The sequence below is a fragment of the Homo sapiens genome, chromosome 1, assembly GCF_000001405.40.
Source record: "Homo sapiens chromosome 1, GRCh38.p14 Primary Assembly".
In the NCBI taxonomy this organism is placed as follows: domain Eukaryota; kingdom Metazoa; phylum Chordata; class Mammalia; order Primates; family Hominidae; genus Homo; species Homo sapiens.
Window position 1 is genome coordinate 197,212,469 of NC_000001.11, and position 19,923 is coordinate 197,232,391.

General features: G+C 37.4%; 1 protein-coding gene and 1 pseudogene across 2 annotated transcripts in view; both read left to right on the forward strand.

Moving 5' to 3' along the window:
• CRB1 (crumbs cell polarity complex component 1) overlaps positions 1–19,923 on the forward strand; it is a 276,952-nt gene that overhangs the window by 10,965 nt on the left and 246,064 nt on the right. The window lies entirely within an intron of this gene.
• Positions 9,658–11,072, forward strand: LOC127011 (ATPase H+ transporting accessory protein 2 pseudogene; annotated as a pseudogene).

Below are 19,923 nucleotides of genomic sequence, written 5' to 3' on the forward strand. Positions count from 1 at the left end.
ACAACATAAATGAGTCACAAAATAACATGTTGAGTAAAATACAAAAGGACTCTATTCTATCTGATCAAAATTCTAAAAACTGCAAGTTATTATAACAGAAAGCCAATCAGTTTGTTGTGTGGAGACAGCTGGGGAACAAGGGTAGGGGAAGTGTGATAAATTACAAAAGGGCACAAGAAAACTTTTGTTCATTACTTTGATTATACTGATGGTTTCATCAGGGTGTACATATGTCATAACTGATCAAATTATACACTTTAAATGTACACAGAGTACTGTATGACAAGCCTAAATAAAGCCATTAAAAAGAGTGTCACCCAGACACGTGAACAGAGACACACAATGAAACAAAACAATAGAAAATTCAGAAATGGATCCAAATTTACAGGCAAATTTACTATATAAAAAGATAAAATTTCTAGTCCATGGCAAAAAGATAGACCATCCAGCAAACGGGAATGGATAAAGAGGTGAACATCAAAAATAAAAGTTTCATATAAACTTCTCAACAGATCTAGATAAATTCCAAATGGATCAAAGGTTTCAGTATAAAAATTGAAACTATGAAAGTACTATACCAAAATGCAAACAAACTTCTAAATAACAGTAAAATGGGAAATAGCATTTCCCATGAATCAGAATTTACAAGTAATTAAGACAAAAGAAAGGTTAAATCAACCATATAAAAATTTCTAAAATTTGCATGGAGAAGTTCCAGTATAAGTAATAGTGTATTAAGTGATTCAAACCAACTCTCCTACTGAGAATGATACAACAAAATGTTTTTAAACAGAACGTCTGTTCTGAATGCGCAGAAGAGCTACAAAGTCTGTGTGTAAGGAATTGTGTTGCCATGATTTGCAAGAAGAAAGAGTCACAAAAAGATATCCTGGCATTTGGGGGAGCTTCTCCCTAAAAATAGTTACTGATTAGAAAGCAGCTGCTGAAATGCTGATAAGACGAGCAGAGCAGATCCTTAGACTTGTGAGACAGAAACATAAAAATTAAAGTTATAAGGACCTCAAAAAAGGAAGGGTCCTAATAAAAATCCCATGTGACTCAGAAAGCCCTAGCCTTGAGTAAAAGTATACCAGAAATCAATCACCAATCATAAGATTGAAGCTCTTCTTTGAAACATTTTCTAGGCTAGATCATACATTTGGCCACAAACAAATCTTTTAAAATTTGAAAAGATTGATGTTATACCAAGTATTTTTTCCAACTGAAATGGTATGAAGCTAGAAATCAATAACAGGGAGAATATTGAAAAATTTACAAACATATGAAGATTAAGCAACACACTCCTGAACAACCAATGGTTCAAAAAAGAAAAGTCAAAAGGGAAATTTAAAAACATATTGATACAAAATAAAATGGAAACACAAAACACCGAAACTTACAGAATACAGCAAAAGCAGTTCTAAGAGTGAAACTTATAAACACCTACATTAAGAAAAAAGAAAACTCTCAAATAAACAATCTAACTTTCCACCTCAAAGAAGTAGAAAAGGAAGAACAAGCTAAGCCTAAGGTTAGTTTGGGCTAGCAAAAGGAAGAAAATGATAAAGATAAGAGCCAAAATAAATGAAATAGATGCTAGAAAAAAAATCAACGAAACTAAAAGTTGCGTGGTTTTTTTGTTTGTTTGTTTGCGAAGGAGAAAAAAAAAGCTGGCAAACCTTTAGCTAGACTAAGAAAACAATAGAGAAGACTCAAAACCAGAAATGAAACGGGAAACATTACATTTGATACTACAGAAAATCAAAAGATTGCAAGAGACTACAGTTGACCCTTAAACAACATGGCTTTGAACTGCGTGAGTCTACTTACATGTGGATTTTTTTTTCAATATATACAGTCTGCCCTCCATATGCATGAGTTCAGCATCTGAAACCAAACATGAATGAAAAATAAGAGTATTCATGAGATGCAAAACCTTCTTATATGAAGGGCCCAATTTTAATATTCACAAGTTCCACAGGGCCTACTCTGGGACTTGAGTATGTGTGGATTTTGGTACCCATGGGTGGTCCTGGAACCAAACCCCTGTGGATCCTGAGGGATGACTATACTATGAACAACTATACACTGATAAGTTGGGTAACTTAGAAGAAATGGATAAACTTCTATAAGCATACAACCAATCAAAACTGAATCATGTAAAAAACAAAGTCTGATCTGAACTAAAATAAAAAAACAAGGAGTTGAATTAGTAATGAAAAACTTCACAACAAAGGAAAGTCCAGGACCAGAGCTTTTACTAGTAAATACTACCAATATTTAAAGAACAATTAATACTAATCCTTCTCAAACTGTTCCAAAAACTCGAAGAGAAAGAAATACCTCCAAACTCTTTTCATGAGCCCAGCATTACCCTGATACCAAAGCCAGACCAGGATACTGAAGAAAAAAAAAAAATTACAGGCTAATATCCCTGATGAACATAGATACAAAAATCGTAAAAACAAAACAAAAAGACTGGCAAATTGAATTCAAAAACATATTAAAAGGATCACAAGCCTTGATCAAGTGGTATTTTATCCCTGGGATGCAAGAATGGCTCAACATAAAAGTGACACATTAACAGAATGAAGGAAAAAACATGATCATTTCAATAGAGGCAGAAGAAGTATTTGACACAATTCAACATTCTTCAATGATAAAAACTCAACAAATTAGGTACAGAAAGAATGTACATCAGCATAATAATGGCCATTGGTATAGTTTGGCTGTGTCCCCACCAAAATCTCATCTTGAATTGTAGTTCCCATAATCCCCAAGTGACATGGGAGGGAGCCAGTGGGAGATTTTTTTTTTTTTTTTTTTGAGACGCAGTTTCACTCTTGTTGCCCAGGCTGGAGTCCAATGGCACGATCTCGGCTCACCACAACCTCCACCTCCTGTGTTCAAGCAATTATCCTGCCTCAGCCTCCTGAGTAGCTGGCATAATAGGCATGCACCACCATGCCCGGCTACTTTTGTATTTTTAGTAGAGACAGGGTTTCTCCATGTTGGTCAGGCTGGTCTCGAACTCCCAACCTCAGGTGATCACCTACCTCAGCCTCCCAAAGTGCTGGGATTACAGGCATGTGCCACTGTGCCCGGCGGGAGGTAATTTAATCAGCAAAGTAGTTACCTCCATGCTGTTTTCCTGATAGTGAATGAGTTCTCATGATATCTGATGATTTTATAAGGGACTTTTCCCCCTTTTACCCAGCACTTCTTTCTCCTGCCACCATGTGAAGAAGAACGTGTTTGCTTCCCTTCCACCATGACTGTATGTTTCCTGAGGCCTTCCCAGCCATGCAGAACTGTGAGTCAATTAAACCTCCTTCCCGAATAAAGGACCCCAGAAGTTATTGCATCTCAGAACTTTTCCCATTAATCCAGTCATACATCATTTATATCAATGACATATGTCAATAAAGAATGTAACTAGGTCTCAATTTAATCTATTGGAACATATATCTGCATTTTTCTTTGCAATAGGAACATTTATTTAGATTTAAATGTCCTTAAATTGCTTGTCAGTTTTTACTTAATCATATCAACCAGGAGTTGGAAGATCCTTAAATTTCTTAAACTTAACAGCATGCTCTTTTGCCTCCCATCTGGCCTTCTGAATGTAGAGTTTCCTTTCCTTAGAATATTCTTCCTCCAGTATGTTACCACTTTACCCCCATTTTGGTATAGTCCCATTAATCTATTCAAATAGTTTCAGGTTAGTCATTTTCTCCTTGAAGAAGTTTGCTGTGCATTCATATACAGGTAATGTCCCTCTTTTGTTTGCTCTCAGAACACTATAGCTCCCATATTAACATGGGTGCTTGCCTACTCACCTATGGAACCAAAATATCTATGAGGACAGAAGACATATTAATTCTATTTACAGCTGTATCCTTAATAACCAGTAAAATGTATAGATCCTGATAATAAGTCAGTAAATAGTTTTGAATAAATAAACTAGCTGGAAATCGTCAATTATACATTAGTAAGAAGCCAGAAGTATACTACAATACTGTATCTTGCTGATATTGAGCTACTCTGTTACCCTTAAGTTAGTGTAAAGATACAAGTTTTTCATTGGAGGAATCCAAAATTATTATAAATCCTGGCATGATATTTACCTTCACTAAAAATTAATTATGATTCAAAAGGATATAGAGCTAGATTATTTATTTAAACTAGGGCACTGGAAATTTTATAAAACTAGTACTCAGGTATCACAGTAGTTAAGAGAATAATAGTGTACTGCAATGAGGTCAAAACTGAAGAGGGCCTACAGGGTCTTTTGAAAGACCTACATGAGTGTCAGCTGCCATAGGTCAGGAATGAGGACAGTTCCTTGTGATTTGTGAGAAACATTTACTCTATGATCTTCAGAGAAAGACCAACTGAGGAAAGCATGGTTATAAAGTGACATTCAAGCCCTTCTCATAAAAGTCCCATAAAGAAAGGACATTCTCAAGAAAGTGAAAAGACAACCCATAGAATGGGAGAAAATATTTGAAACTCATAAATCTGATAAGGATCTAGTATCTAGAATATATAAAGAACTCTTACAAATCAATAATAAAAAACAACCCAATTTTTAAAGTGTACATCGAATTGAAATAGATATTTTTCCAAAGACATATGAATGCCAATAAACGCATGAAAAGATGCTCAATATTGTTAGTACTTATGGATGGAAATACAAATCAAAATCACAATAAAGTACCATTTCATACCTACTAAGATGGCCATAATTTTAAAATTGTTGTTGGTGAGAATATACAATGATGCACCTATTTTGGAAAACAGATTGTCAGTTCCTCAACATCAAACATGTGACCCAGAAATTTTAATCCAGTGTATATGCCTAAGAGAGTTGAAAGCACATGTTCACACAAAAACTTGTACATGAAGGATAGCTGTATTATTCATAGCAGCCTCAAATTGGAAACAATGCAAATGTCCATCAACTGATGAACGGATAAACAAAATTTGGTATATCCATGCAAATGAATATTATTCAGCCATAAAAAGGAATAAAATACTGATACATGCTACAACATTGATGAACCTTGGAAACATGCTAAGAGAAAGAAGTAAAACACAAAAGACCACATATAGTATGAATCTGTTTATACAAAATGTCCAGAATACAAATTTATAGAGTTGGAAAGTAGATTAGTAGTTGGTAGGGGATAGAGAGAGAGGGGAATGGGGAATTATTGCTATTGGGTATGGGTTTTTTGGAGGTGATGAAACTGTTCTAAAATTAGATAGTGGTCATTTTGCACAACCTCACAAACATACTAAAATCCATCAAATTGCACGTATTAAAATGGTGAACTTTATGATATATGAACTATATCTCAAAACAGTATAAGAGACTGTAACAACAGAAAAATACTTATGTAATAATTTTTATGTGAAAAACATAGTACTTGTTGCCCATAGGGCATGATCACATATATAGGAAGGAATTGCACTGAGTAAAGATGGGAAGACATTGCACCCAAATATTAACAGAGGTTGTCTCTGTGTAGTGGGGTGATGTAAGATTTTATTTTCTTCAATTAAAAAACAATTTCAGCTCTTCTATTATAAACATGCATTTTCATAATGAAAAAAATTAAAAATTGTTAAAAGTACCATAAAGAGAGCAGATGATGTCATAGTGCTTGCAGACTCTTCTAGACTTTAGAGTCAAAGTCAGAGCTTGCCACCTATGCCGGGCAAGGAACAAGAAAGGTGTGTCAGTTTATCATGAAACAGAATGACTCTCAAAATTGATGTTGTGTCAGGAAGTACTCTGCTACTGGCAAGAACTTTTTAAATTCTAGTTGGGTTATACAAAGCAACCTTGAGAGAGTAATTTGAGATTGAAGGGTACCGGGTGATTGCTAGAACTCATTTATATAATTAGTGAAGAAAGTGCCTTTTTAGAGATTCTCATATATGAGTATGGATTTATGGTGACTCAGTGCCAGTCATGTAAAGTATATATTTTTAAATTTTCCTGGACCAAATAAAACAAGATTTTTAGCCTCATTTTGGCCCATAGGCCCTATTGATGACCTCTATTCTGGTGTTTCACTTGAGTGGAATAAATGTGGAGGTCAATGAAGTTGGATCCATAACCCCAAGAGAAAAGGATGTTGTGTGGGCTGTGTACGTGTAAAAGTCCCTTGACTGTGGATGATACAAGGTTTGTGGATGGCAGGGAATAGGAGAGCAGGACATGATACAGGCAGACACATGGGCTTCAAAGGAGCTAATTTATTTTTACATTAATTTGAAGGGATAATGGACTGGAAGTAGTACTGGAGAACAAAGAGAGGAGGGATGTGTAGTAGGAAACACCTATTTGAGCAGCTGCAGGAAAAACAATATCCTCAGGGAATAACAAGTTTTAAGTTAAGGCTAGAAGTTGGAAGGAGTATTTAGTGAAGAAGTTAAGAGTTAGGAAAACAGATTTATCATAGCAGCAAGCCCAGTGGAAAGGCTTGATGGGGAGAGGAGGACAGGGTTGTTGAGGCATAGACAGTAAGAGGACTAAAGCTCATGTAGCTAACAAGTACTATGGGAGCCCAAGTGAATTGAAAGTGCTGGTAGGTTTGTCATGGCCACTGAAAAGGCTCATAATGTGTTTAAAAATAAGCATAAGACATGAGTATGACAAAATTGGCCACAAGAAAAAGAAATTGTCATTGATGAGAATTCAACCTTGGATAATGTTTTTAAAAATCTGACTCATAATTTTATTTGAAACTGGAACCTCAAATACATAAAGGTTTATCAAATGCTTACTATGTCCTGAATTCTGTGGTAACTAGTTTAGTCTAGCAACACTTTTAATCTTCACAAAATCCTATGAAATAGATAATCCACCACTTACTGTTTTGTTTCTTTCACTTGATTTTTGTGCCTTATTTTCTTCACTTGAAAAATAGGGCTGATAGTAATAGTATGTACATCACAGAGGATTAAAAGAGACAATCCATGAGACACTGTCTAGTGCCAGGTCCATAAAGCTTACCTATTATTACCATTACTACTTCTTATACGACTGCTAATATAATGACTATTGTTCTTGCCATTTCACAGATGAGGCTAAGAGAGATTGAGAAACTTGTCCAAAGTCATGTCGCACAGCGAATACGCAGAGGAGTAAGATTTCAAATGCAAATATCCTCACATTACTCCTCTTAGCTTTGCTGAAGCATTTGAATGGCTTCCATTTGGTTTTAAGATACACACCAAAATTCTCAACAAAACTTGTATGATCTAAACTGCACTTACCTCTAAGTTTTATACTATGTTTCCCTCTCTCTGTGCTCCAGCCACAATGATCTTCTTTTACTTCCTGTAAGTCAGGTTGCTTGTTCTCTCCTCATAAACGGTTGTGTAGTACTATCTCTGTGTCAGTGGCACTCACTGTCTTACATATTTTCATCCTTCCATGAGAAGAGTTCATCTTTTCTTTAGGGAAGCTTTTGCTAACTTCTCTGACTAGGATAATGACCCAGTCACATGTTTTCCTGAAACTGCATACCTCTTCTTGGTAACACTTAACATAGCTATAATTTTTTTTGTGTGTTTTTCTGATTAGTACATTTCCTCCAGTAGACACAAGTCATCCTCTTTCTTTATTCTCCTTTGTGGGTCTGACCTACTATTTAACATGGAGAGGCTGAAAGAAAAAAAATTAACTAAAATTGATTGCAAAAAAGAAAAGGAATAAAAGGAACACAGTAAAGTGTTAAATAATAAAACAAATTGGATAAAGAGTTTAGGAAATGAAGTATTTTTAAAAGAGATGAATAAAAAGTAAGAACTAAGTAAAATAATGTAAAAAGATGTATAAACAAGTAAATAATGAACTTAGAAGAAGTAAAATAAAATGTGGACCAGCAACATAAAAACATTGGATTAGGCATTCAAGACAGGTGAGAACAAACCGTCCCTGACAGCTGAATACCTAGGCCCTGGTTTCAGACAGGGACTTCTGAGATGAGACAAGATCCAAGGAGATGGGAGCAGGGAGGGTGTCAGACCATGGGCTACAAGAGCTTTAGGGAGCAAAGGTAACTATTGCGTTTGCTTTCTTTTGAGAAGTTTTAGGTTGTTTTGTCAATGACAGCTAATGTTTGGCAAAGTGGTAACACAGGAAGAAAAATGTATTTCTTAGCATAATTATTGATATGGTTTGGATTTGTGTTCTTGCCCAAATCTCATGTCGAATTGGAGGAGGGGCCTGGTGAGAGGTGATTAGATCATGGGGGTGAATTTCCCCCTTGCTGTTCTGGTGATAGTGAGCTGATCATTTAAAAGTGTTTGGCACCTTCCCCCACCTCTTTTCCTGCTCTGCCATGTAAGACGTGCTTGCTTCACCTTTGCCTTACAATGTGATTGTAAGTTTCCTGAGGCTTCCCACTCATGCTTCCTGTACAGCCTGTGGAACTGTGAGTCAATTAAACCTCTTTTCTTCATAAATTACCCAGTCTCAGGTAGTTCTGTATAGCAGTGTGAGAACAGACTAATACAATTCTCTATAAGGAAGAGATCTACATGTCTTCTAACGGGCAGGCTAAACATAAAAAGGTAGTCACAGACTACGATACTTGTGTTTTGCCTGGGGTGCATAAGGTGTGTAAAGTGAAGGATAGAGTATAATTAGGAAAATAGAAGAGATTTTTAGAGGCCATGTTGGGTAGAGAGAAGAAAGCCAATGAGGAATAAAGCCAACTTCTAGCAGAAATGACAGTTAAGAAAAGGGCCTCAGTTTTAGGTGATAACTGCCTGATAGTATGCCACTGATTCATAAGAAACGGGAAGATAAAACAAGGGGTGAGCAAAGATTTTGGTGGGAAAGATTTGATAACTATAGAATTAGTGTAGAATATTGTAGGATGAGTTCAGTTTTAGAGTCAAGACCCTCTGTGTTCAAACCATACCTCATCACATTCTGTTAGTATTAGCTTTTATGCTCCTCAGACTGGAGTGAAAAATGGAGAGATGTGCTCAGTGTTTCAGTTCTTTCTGAAAAATAATTTTACTAGCAGTCATAAACATTTTTTACACTGACAAAAAGCACATATATTTTGAAGTAGGATGAAACATTTGCCTGACGAATTTAAAAAATAAAGACATTTCTCACTGATTAGTAGTAGCTGTGGGATATGCCTTCATATTTCTTGCAGCCCATATTCAATTTCCTTTGTCATTAAGAGGACTTTAGTTAAAAAAAAATAATAAAGAGGCTGTATGAACCTGTTTTGAATCACTATAAAATTGGGGTTGGGTGGTGGTGGAATGACTTTGTATATCTAACCACCTAGCCCTGATCCTGACATATGCTCAGTGACTGAAAGTACTATTTTCCTTGCCCTGCTCCTCCTCTCTTCCATTTATGACAAGAATAGGTGATGCTTCAATTTTTATTTAACCATTTTTTTAAATTCCTCTTCCAATATTGGGCAACTACAGATCTTTCCAACCAAAATCTTTGCTCACAGGAATATCTATAAAATATTTCTATATCAAATATATAGTGGAGGATATTCTTTTAGAAAATATTCAATATATACAGGTATAATTTTATTTTTTACTTTTTTTAAAAAATATATTCCTTTAGGCGATGAAAGGACAAGCCCCAGGAGTCAGGATGAGTCCTAATGCCGTCACCCAGTCACACCGCAGTGCTTGCCTGTGTCCTGCCGGCCCGCTCCTTGTTGCCCTGCACTGCGCGGCCGCAGCGGCACCATGATTGTGTTTGCCGTGCTCCTGTCGTTGGTGGCGGGTGTTTGAGGGAACGAGTTTAGTTCTTGGTCTGTTATTTTCAGAAATGGAAATTGGCCTATACCGGGAGAGTGAATCCCAGACGTGGCTGCATTGTCCATGGCCTTCTCTGTGAAGGAAAACCTTTCTTGGCCAGGACTTGCAGTAGGTGACCTATTTCATCGTCCTCGGGCTACCGTCATGGTGATGGTGAAGGGAGTGGACAAACTGGCTCTACCACCAGGCAGTGTCATTTCATACCCTTTGGAGAATGCAGTTCCGTTTGGTCTTGGCAGTGTTGCAAATTCCATTCGCTCTTTATTTTCTGACGAAACTCCTGTTGTTTTGCAGTTGGCTCCTAGTGAGGAAAGAGTGTATTTGGTAGGGAAGGCAAACTCAGTGTTTGAAGACCTTTCAGTCACCTTAGGACAGCTCCATAATTACTTGTTTCAGGAAAACTCCATTCTCAGTTCATTTCCCCTGAATTCTCTGAGTAGGAACAATGGAGTTGACTTGCTCTTTCTTTCTGAACTCCAAGTGCTACATGATATTTCAAGCTTGGTGTCTTGTCATAAGCATCTAGCCAAGGATCATTCTCCTGATTTATATTCACTGGAGCTGGCAGGTTTGGATGAAATTGGGAAGCATTACAGGGAAGACTCTGAACAATTCATAGTTGCTTCTAAAATCCTGTTGACGCTCTGCAAGAGTTTGCAGATAACATGTACAATCTTTACAGTGGGAATGCAGTGGTAGAGTTAGTCACTATTAAGTCATTTGACACCTCCCTTATGAGGAAGACAAGGACTATCTTTGAGGCAAAATAAGTGAAGAACCCAGCAAGTCCCTATAACCTTGCGTATAATTTTGAATATTCAGTGATTTTCAACATGATACTTTGGATAATGATTGCCTTGGCCCTGGCTGTGATTATCACTTCTTACAATATTTGGAACATGGATCCTGGATATGATAGCATCATTTATAGGATTACAAACCAGAAGATTCGAATAGATTGAATATTCCTTGTGCCAGAATTAGAAAAGGGGTTTGGAAATTGGCTGTTTTGTTAAAATATATCATACATTGTGGTTTAAAGTAGATAGCATACTTTAAATTTATTAAAACCTCACATTTCTTCTCTATTTTGTGTGTGCCTATGGTTTTTTTTAGAGTGAATTACAGTATTGATGTGAATCAAACTGTACAGTGTAGATTCCATAATATACTGAAATATATCATAGCCATTTAATAACACGATTTCATTCCCTTTAATGAGTTTGGAAATATGCACTGAAAGAAATTAAAACATTTAGAATAGCTTGTGTTATTTATTATGGAAAAATGCACTGAATTTATTAGAGAAACTTATGAATGTTTAACTTCTTTACACAGCATAGGTGAAAATCATATTTGGACTGTTGTATACTATGAACAATTTGTAAATGTCTTCATTTGATATAAGTATCTCTGAAACAAGAGGAAAGGTTTTTAACTTCGAATAGCCCTAAAATATGGATGTGCTTATACAGTCACTTAGTTTTGGAACTCTTTCTGATTGACAGAGGATGGCTGTTTTTTAACCTTCTTCAAGTTTGGTGACCCATACTCTAGTATGGATACTAAAAATATTACATTTATGTAAGAAGAAACTAGCCTTGTGGAGTATAGATGCTTTTAATTATACACACAAAAATCATTGAGGCATGAACATAAAATATTTTTAGTTCAGTAACTTCTCCCCCTGTGTAAGGTACTATGGTTTGTGGTCCAACTTCATCCTGTAGAATATTAAGTGGAAGTGGATGAGTTCTACTTTTTGGAATGGACTCATGTCTATAAAGACTGACACGTTAATAATAATTCCGAAAAAATTTTTCTTTAAAGCTCTTGTACCGAAAAAATTTTTCTTTAAAGCTCTTGTACTTAGCCAATATTTAATGTCCTGTTTACATAATGGAGTCTGAAACTCAGAGGAACTTCCTGGGGACCCAAAAAGTATAATGTATATCAAATAGAGTGAGATATATATTCATTCTGTATATTCAGGTCATAAAACACAATTACATTTAAAAGAATTTTAGACAGAAGCGACTTTGAATATATTACAGCTGCAATGCAGAAACACATTAAAGTTTTATGGATAAACATTTTTTCCACTGGAGGGTGCAATTTGTCAGTATATCAAAATAGTCACAGTTCCTTTAATGAGTATACTTTATAAATAATATCAGAGAGCTGATTATTTCCAAGACACTAACATAGAATGCTGAGCAGATTTCATGAAACTTTAAATAAATGAAATTTCACCAATAGGAATATGGGCTTTATTCCACAATATCCTTATGTGGAATATACTTACAATTAGGATCAAGTAAGCTGAACATAATTTTATTCTTCTGTTACCTTTTTTGGATACCATATATGACTTTCTTGGCTATTAATACTGCAAAAATATATACTAATAATTCATGCTGAAGATACAGTCCTACTTATAATATTATTAAGTTTTATAGTTGTTTTCTTTAGCAGTCTATGCATTTATTTACAATTCTTTATGAAATATGGATTTATTTTATTAGACTTTATACTCAGTAATAATGAGTAGTCTAAGATGAAATGTAAATTAAATAAGCATAAAACTAACATACATTTAACAAACTTTCTTTTATTATATATATCATATAGTATGAAGGCTATTAGATAATATGTGCTTGAGATATAATACTAATGAAACAAATTATAATAAAAGCTAGTATTTATTAAGCACTGGCTAGGTGTTAGGCACAGTTCTATATTTATTAACTTTGCATTTGTAATTTACTTCCTTATCACAACAACCTCAACAAATAGGTATCATTTTCTCCATTTCACAGATGAATTGAATGTGCCAAGATTTCTTGTCCAAGTCCATACAATTAATACCAGAACTCCACCGAGATGGCCTGGCTCCAGGGCCCAGATTTAATCACTATTCTACAGCTATGTTAACCTTGTTGATGCCATCCACTGCTACTCAAATACCAACGTGTTGATTTTTATTTTAGACACTTGAAGACAGGCACTTTCCATTATGAATTAATGTTTCAAAGATATCCATCAAATATGTATTTGTGTTTTCTATTCTGCCTAAATTAATAGAACTTCTTTAATTATGACTTAGATAAATGAACTTGTGGCAGAGCATCTTAATTGCCTACCCCAGCAGCTCTTTCCATCCCTCTCAGTAACAGAACACCAATATTTTGCTGGCATATTGCCACAGTATAAGGCTGCATTTTCCAGCCTCCCTCTCAGATATTAATGGCCACATAAATGAATGGGCAATGAAATGTTAAGTGTAAGTGTTGTGTGGAACTTCCAGGGAGTCTCCTCAAAAGCGGAGGTCTGTGATCTTGCTACACTTACTCTTAATTACTCTTTTCCACTACCTGCAATGTGGGCATGAAAACAGCTGGAGCTTAACAGCCATTTTGGATCTTGGGGCAGGATAACAGAATGACAGCCAGACAAGGCAGGAACTGCTGTTTCCTTTAAGCCCATATTTTGAAGCTTTCTCGCATACACAGCTGTATCTAATCCTACTAACAAGTTTGATAGGTTTTAAGAGTTCATTTTGTCTATCTTTTGAGCCTCGGTCCACCCCAGACCACAGCCTTTCTTTCTTTTTTTTTCTTTTTTTCAGACGGTAATCGCACTCTGTCACTCAGGCTGGAGTGCAGTGGTGCCATCCCTGCTTACTGCAACCCTGCCTCCTGGGTCCAAGCTATTCTCGTGCCTCAGTCTCCTGAGGAGCTGGGACCACAGGAGCACACCACTATGCCCAACTAACTTTTGTATCTTTTGTGGAGATGTGGAGATGGGGTTTCGCCATGTTGCCCAGGCTGGTTTTGGACTCCTGAACTCAAGCCATCCACCTGCCTCAGCCTCCCAAAGTGTGGGGATTACAGGCATGAGCCACTGCACCCAATTGATGTGATTCTACCATGAGGTCATCAAATATCCTTACAGGCTACATGAACTTTGAATATGTTATTAAGCTACTAATATATTTTATGCTTATTTTTTACCTCATAATTTTTTAAAGATCATTTCTACCTGAAGTCCAAAATTAATTACTTAAATAATTCTACAAGTAGTAGTAACTTGTGTAGTAGTGATTAGTGATTGACTTTTAAATTGTCAATTATTAAAATACTTTAGTTTTTGCAGATTATATTTCCCCTTTTGTAACCAGGAAGATACTTGTTTTAGACTGTGTGTTTGTGCCCTGTCCCCTGCCACCCATCTGTTGAAATCCTAACCCCCAGTGGGATAATATTAGGAGGAGGTCAGGCCTCTGGGCAGTAATTAGGTTTAGATGAGGTCATGAGGGTAGAGCCCTCATGATGGGATTAGCATCCATAGAAGAAGAGAGAGACAAGATTCTCTCTCTCCGTGTGTGTTCTCACACCAAGGAAGGCCATGTGAGGTTGTTTTCAGGAAAAGGACTGTTTCCATGCTGCTGTAAAGATAAACTCAAGATTGGGAAGAAAAAGAAGTTTAATTGGACTTACAGTTCCACATGGCTGGGGAGGCCTCAATCATGGCAGGAGGTGAAAGGCACTTCTTACATGGTGATGACAAGAGAAAATGAGGTGATGCAAGAGCAGAAACCCCTGATAAAACCATTGGATCTTGTGAGGCTTGTTCACTACCATAAGAACAGTATGGGGGGAAACTGCCCCCATGATTCAAATTATCTCCCACCAGGTTCCTCCCACAACATGTGGGAATTATAGGAGTACAATTCAAGATGAGCTTTGGGTGGGGACACAGAGCCAAACCATATCATTCCATCCTTGACCCCTCCAAATCTCATGTCCTCATATTTCAAAACCAATCATGCCTTCCCAACAGTCCCCCAAAGTCTTATCTCATTTCAGCATTAAGCCAAAAGTCCACAGCCCAGAGTGTCATCTGAGACAAGGCAAGTTCCTTCTGCCTATGAGCCTGTAAAATCAAAAGCAAGCTAGTTACTTCCTAGATACAATGGGGGTACAGGTATTGTGTAAGTACAGCCATTCCAAATGAGAGAAATTGGCCAAAACAAAGGGGTTACAGAGCCCATGCAAGTTCGAAATCCAGAAGGGTAGTCAAATTCTTTTTTTCTTTTTCTTTTTTTTTTTTTTTTTGAGATGGAGTCTCGCTCATCGCCCAGGCTGGAGTGCGTGGCACGAAGGGCAGTCAAATTCTAAACCTCCAAAATGATCTCCTTTGACTCCATGTCTCACATCCAGGTCATGCTGATGCAAGAGGTAGGTTCTCATAGTCTTGGGCAGCTCTGCCCCTGTGGTTTTGCAGGGTATAGCCCCCCTCCTGGCTGCTTTCACAGGCTGGCATTCAGTGTCTGTGGCTTTTCCAGGCTCATGGTACAAGCTGTCAGTGGATCTACAATTCTGGCGTCTGGGGGACAGTGGCCTGCTCCTAGTGGAGCCCCCACACAGCTCCACGAGGCAGTGCCCCAGTAGGGACTCTGTGTGGGGGCTCCAACCCCACATTTCCCTTCACTGCCCTACCAGAGGTTTCCATGAGGGCCCCGCTCCTGCAGCAAACTTTTGCCTGGGCATCCAGGCATTTCCGTACATCTTCTGAAATCTAGACGGAGGTTCCCAAACTTCAATTCTTGACTTCTGTGCACCCACAAGCTCAATACCATGTGGAAGCTGCCAAGGTTTGGGGCTTACGTCCTCTGAAACCATGGGCTGAGCTGTACCTTGGCCCCTTTTAGCAATGGCTGGGACACAGGGCACCAAGTCCCTAGGCTTCACACAGCACAAGGTCCTGGGGCCGGGCCCATGAAACCATTCTTTCCTCCTAGGCTTCTGGGTCTGTGATAGGAGGTGCTGCCATGAAGACCTATGACATTCCCTGGAGACATTTTCCCCCTTGTTTTGGGGATTAACATTTGGCTCCTTGTTACTTATGCAAATTTCTGCAGCCAGCTTGAATTTCTCCTCAAAAACTGGGTTTTTCTTTTCTACTGCATCGTCAGGCTGCAAATTTTCTGAACTTTTATGCTCTTTTTCGCTTTTGAAATGAAAAGCTTTAACAGCACCCAAGTCACCTTTTGAATGCTGTGCTGCTTAGAAATTTCTTCCACCAGATACCTTAAATCATCTCTCTCAAGTTCAAAGTTCCACAAATCTCTAGGGCGGGGCAATATGCCACCAGTCTCTTTGCTAAAACATAGCAAGAGTCACCTTTACTCCAGTTTCCCAACAAGTTCCTCATCTCCATCTGAGACCACCTCAGCCTGGACCTTATTGTCCAATATTACTATCAGCATTTTGGGCAAAACCATTCAACAAGTCTCTGGGAAGTTCCAAACTTTCCCACATTTTCCCGGCTTCTTCTGAGCCCTCCAAACTGTTCCAACCTCTGCCTGATACCCAGTTCCAAAGTGGCTTCCAGGTTTTTGGATATCTTTTCAGCAACGCCCTGCTCTACTGGTACCAATATACTGTATTAGTTCGTTTTCATGCTGCTTATAAAGACATACCCTAGACTGGGAAGAAAAAGAGGTTTAATTGGATTTACAGTTCCACATGACTGGGGAGGCCTCAGAATCATGGCGAGAAGTGAAAGGCACTTTTTACGTGGTGGCAGCAAGAGAAAATGAGGAGGTGCAAAAGCGGAAACCCCTGATAAAACCATCAGATCTTGTGAGACTTATTCACTACCATGAGAACAGTATGAGGGAAATTGCCCCCTTGATTCAAATTATCTCCCACCGTGTTCCTCCCATAGAATGTGGTAATTATGGGAGTACAATTCAAGATGAGATTTGGGTGGAGACACAGAGGCAAACCGTATCAAGGACCCTCTCCGAGAACCTGACGATGCTGACATCCTGATCTTGGACTTCCAGCCTCCAGAAATAAATGAGAAATAAATAGGTGTTATGTGTGCCACCCAGTCTGTGATATTCTGTCGTAGTAGCTCAAACTGACAGAGACAGGCACTGTGGTGTACTCTTCTTGAGTTCAAATAAATTTAAAAGTATTTTATGAGATTAGCAACATGATATGATAGTAAAGAATAAGTATGACACAGCCATTTTCTATAAAGGAACTTGCAAACTTCCTAGCTTCCTGGCATTTCCTCTTTGCTCAGACACAAGCCTAGAGTCTTCTGATTTGTCTTTTCCCTTCCCCCAATCTTAATTAATTATTTATTAATACAATTTCAACTTTTAGATTCGGGGGTACATTTGCAGATTTGTTCCATGGGCATATTGCGTGACACTGAGGTTTGGGGTATGAGTGATCCCGTCACCCAGGTAGTGAGCATAGTGCCCAACAGGTAGTTTTTCAGCCCTTGTTCCCCTCCTTCTCTCCCTTCTCTAGTGGTTCCCAGTGTCTGTTGTTCTCATCCCATGTCTACGTGCACTCAATATTTAGCTTTCACTCGTAAGTGAGAACATGGGGTATTTGGTTTTCTGTTTCTGCATTAATTAGATTAGGATAATGGTCTCCCTGCTGATTTTAAACTTGCCCTCTGCCTCTCATTTCAAAGAAAAAGAATAATGAGTCTTGTTCTAAGGCCTTTTCCTCACGATTTAAGCAGGGTTTGGGGCAAAAATAAAAAAAAGACCTACAGCTTCGCTCTTGATTAGAAGATGACCAAAAGTCTATGGGAGTTATGGAAATCATACAGGTTTTAAGATTCAGCCATATGTAATAACAGTAGCAATATATTATGGTTTTAATAATGCTATCTTCTATAGCATTTATAATATGTTCAGCACTACACTAAGTGCATTATATGTATTAAGTCATTTCATCCTCACAACACTCTAAAATAAGTACTAATGTTTTGCAGCTGAGAGAACTCAGTCACTGTGATATTAACTTGCTTAAGATCACTCAGCTGAAGTGGAAATACCAAGACTTCAACTCATGTTTTTGGCCTTACAATATTACTATAAAGTCTTAATCCATTCAGATAATTGTTAGAATTATTGCATTGAATTAGCTCAATGAAAAATACAATTGGAGAAATATAAAATCTATACTAAATATTTTTTGATCTGTACTATCAGATTCTCTTTCTTGGATCGAAGTGTAAATTTGTGTAAATCACTGTTAGAATATGCGTTGCATTAATAAGATTTTTATTTTTTTAACCACCTTTGATAAGTTCCACAAAAATTTTAGTAGTTACCTCAAATTCTTCATTTTTTTTCTATTTTATGGGATTTCACCATGTATAGGTCTTAAGATGGATATGACAACTCAAGTTTAGATTCAGTCTTGGGAAATAATCACTATGTGGCAAATTTACTATCTGATAAGTTATTGATTGTATCTAGTTCTCTTCACTTCTGGTTGCTCTTGCAGGTAAATAAAATTATCCACTTCCATGTCTACCAGTGGTATGTGAAAGGAAGTAATAGGTAGGACTAGAAAGATCCTTTAAAATCAATCAATTACTCCTTGTATTTTTCAGAGAAAAAGAAGTCCCAGACTGATAAAATAGTCTTGACCAACATAATTTACCCAAAGAAAAGGTAGAGGTGAATATAGAGCATGCACTCTAGTATCAGGAGTTCTAGGCTAAATCTTGGCTTTGCAATTGATTAATCAAAAATCTTAGACATGTTATTTAGTCTCTTGGAGGATCAAGTTTTTAACTGGTAAAATTAGAGATATTAAAGATGATAGTATCTCTCATGAAATTGTCATGATGATCAAATGCTCAAATATAAGGCACAGTGTTTTGCAAACTATTAAGTGTTATACAAATGTTTAGCTGTAATTAATAGACTTTGCTTCCCAATTTGGAGAGAAATGCTATAAAATGTGTACACCATCAACAATTTGGAGTTGGTTCTTGTATGAAGACAAGAACAGAAGAAATTATAGCTTCTTTATTACATGTTTTATAAACAGTTACAGGCATTATCTTAAATACTAAATAATTAGACTACAATTCCTGCTTCATTTTAAAGTCATATGTTTATAATCTCATAAAATTATTTTTAGGGTTGCCCAGTGCAAGTAGAACAGGACTACCCCCCTCATCATCTTATTTTTGATATTTTTCATAAATCACATTTAAAATTTGAAAGGAATGTCTACCATTTGCCCACTGCCAGACTCCTCTTATAAGGTATTCCACATGCCTGTTGCCAGGTGAGTAGACATGAAACTGGATTCTGGGAGAGCTGGAATCAAAGAGGGATGTATGCTAAAGTCAGAAAAGGACAACAGGGGAACACTCTCCCATGATACAGGATTTGATACCCTGGCAAGGACCCTAGGAAACAGTGCAAGCATGCTGATAGAATGAAATTTGTAGTATGAAGAAAGTGATGAGCCACAATAAGCGATGTAGAAAATGCTAGAATTGACATCCCAGAGGGTGAAATAAGGGATTAAAAGACTAGGCAAAGTGGGCATGCTAAAGTGGATATACCATGTATATGGAAAGATCACCAGATACCTAGTTTCCATGGAAGGCCTAGAACCATCACTGTTTGCAATCAGGAACATTTTGGTGAGAGGAGTACCAATATCAGAGTCTTAGCAGTAGCTCTCTTCTGTAGACCAGGGCTGATGATAGCAGACGCTATTTGTAGTAGGCTGAATAGTGCCTACCCCACCTCGACCAAAGATGTCTATGTCCTAATTCTCGGAACCTGTGAATGTGTAACCTTCATAGTTTAAGGGACTTTGCAGATTTAATTAAATTAAGGATTCTGAGATGAGGAGATTATCCTGGATTACATAGGTAGGCCCAAAGTAATTACAGGGGCTCCTTATAAGAGAAAGGTAGGAGGGTCAGAGTTAGAGAATGCAATGTGACAATGGAAGTAGGGGTTGGAATGATGCAGCAATGAACTAAGGAATGCAGGCAGCCTGCAGAAGCCAGAAAATGCAAGTAAATGGATTATTCTCTAGAGGATCCAAGGGAATGCAGTTCAGGTAACACTTTGATTTTAGCCTAGTGGACATATTTTGGATTTTGACATTCAAATCTGCAAGAGAAGAAATTTTGTGTTGCTTTAGGCTACTGTGTGTGGTAATTTGTTACAGTAGTAATGGGAAATCAATACACTTAAAGAACTGGGCCAACTGGTGGAAATGACACTCTAAGACAACCGAGATAAAA